Source organism: Homo sapiens, chromosome 6 (genome assembly GCF_000001405.40).
Source record: "Homo sapiens chromosome 6, GRCh38.p14 Primary Assembly".
In the NCBI taxonomy this organism is placed as follows: domain Eukaryota; kingdom Metazoa; phylum Chordata; class Mammalia; order Primates; family Hominidae; genus Homo; species Homo sapiens.
In genome coordinates, this window is record NC_000006.12 from 168,755,773 (window position 1) to 168,757,246 (window position 1,474).

Here is a 1,474-nt window from a genome sequence, read left to right on the forward strand (position 1 = left end):
ACATCCTTAACTTTCGCAAATAAACTTCCCAAAGGGATTGAGACTTGCCTCATCACTTTTCTCGATTGACAGTGGAGTGAAGACCTCTGAAAAGTCACCTCTCAATAAAAGCAGTTCTTAGGAACTGGCATGATGCGTCAAAATAAACTTTTTCAGGACTGTGAAAATTAACCAAAGGCTTACAGGAATCCAGGAAGTATTTATTCAAAAAAATGGATGAGTCTCAGTAAGACCAATGAGCTTTATGAGATTTTAAATTGCCTTAGTCTAATGCCTCATCCCCAGGCACAGCTGTAGTTTTGAGAGATAAAATTCTCAGTACTACAGGGAGCAGATAAAGCTGGAGCTCTTTTGTACAGGCTCATTCCTAAAGAATTGATGTTATTTGAGCTATTTAGTCATTCCCTGAAAGGCTGACTTAAAAGGCTTCCCTTTATTTTTCTTGACTTGAAGTCCAGCTAGTGCTTCTCCCTTGGGGGCATTATTCAAACCCTACAGACAAGTGTTTTCACATTGAAGCTGCCTGAGGCAATGGATAACAGTTGGGATATACAATAGGCTAACTAAAAAGCTTAAAAAGAAAAGATGAAGAAAAAGAAGGTAGGAGCTTTGAAAATACTTAAGGTATTCCTGAGAATGCAGGAGGCTGAGCGCCTTTCAAAAGCTGTGTGCATGCTCGGAAAGGCCTGAGATGGCCCTGTGCTCTCAACTCTGGCTGACCATGGCATTTGCGCAAGTGGGAAGTGAAGGCTGAGGAAGAGTTGTGAAGGACCTGGGTAAGGACTGAACCCATGCCCCAACACACACAGAGATCCATCCCCTCAGAAAAGCCTGTAGACTGGTTCCAAGAACATAAGGAATTTTCTCCAATCTTTAGGTGACCATGAGGTAGTCAAGTAGAGGTTTTAACTGCCACACAAAATAATGAATACAGATTTTACAGAATTAGTTAAGAAAAGTTGCTAAACAAATACACAACTATTACAGGCAGCAACAACAAATCCTGACAAAACAAGAGAGAGAATCTGATTTCCACACTACTTTATGTTTACACAATATTATTTAAAATATTCAATTTTCTACCAATAAAGAGACCTGCCAAAAAAAAAAAGAAGAATGTATGGCCTGCAGAAAAAAGGTGTGTTAGTCCATTCTCACACTGCTATGAAGAACTACCTGGGACATGGTAATTTATAAAGTAGAGAGGTTTAATTGGCTCACAGTTCCACAGGCTGTACAGGAAGCATGGCTGGGAGGCCTCGGGAAACTTACTATCATGGCGGAAGGTGAAGAGGAAGCCAGCACGTCCTATGTGCCTGGAGCAGGAGGAAGAAAAGAGAAGGGGGAGATGCCACACACTTTTAAACAACCAAATCTCTGAGTACTCACTCACTATTACAAGAGCAGCACTGAGGAAAAGACCCACCCCCAGGATCCAGTCACCTCCCATTAGGCCCCAATTCGACATGAGATT

The 1,474-nt window shown here is 41.6% G+C and overlaps 1 annotated feature.

Annotated features, from left to right (window-relative positions):
- Positions 223–727: an enhancer, noted in NCBI's record as "NANOG-H3K27ac hESC enhancer chr6:169156090-169156594 (GRCh37/hg19 assembly coordinates)". NCBI's record gives its function as "activates a minimal SCP1, AML or CMV promoter by ChIP-STARR-seq in naive and primed H9 embryonic stem cells {active_cell/tissue: H9 hESC(naive and primed)}" and the evidence as "EXISTENCE:reporter gene assay evidence [ECO:0000049][PMID:30033119]".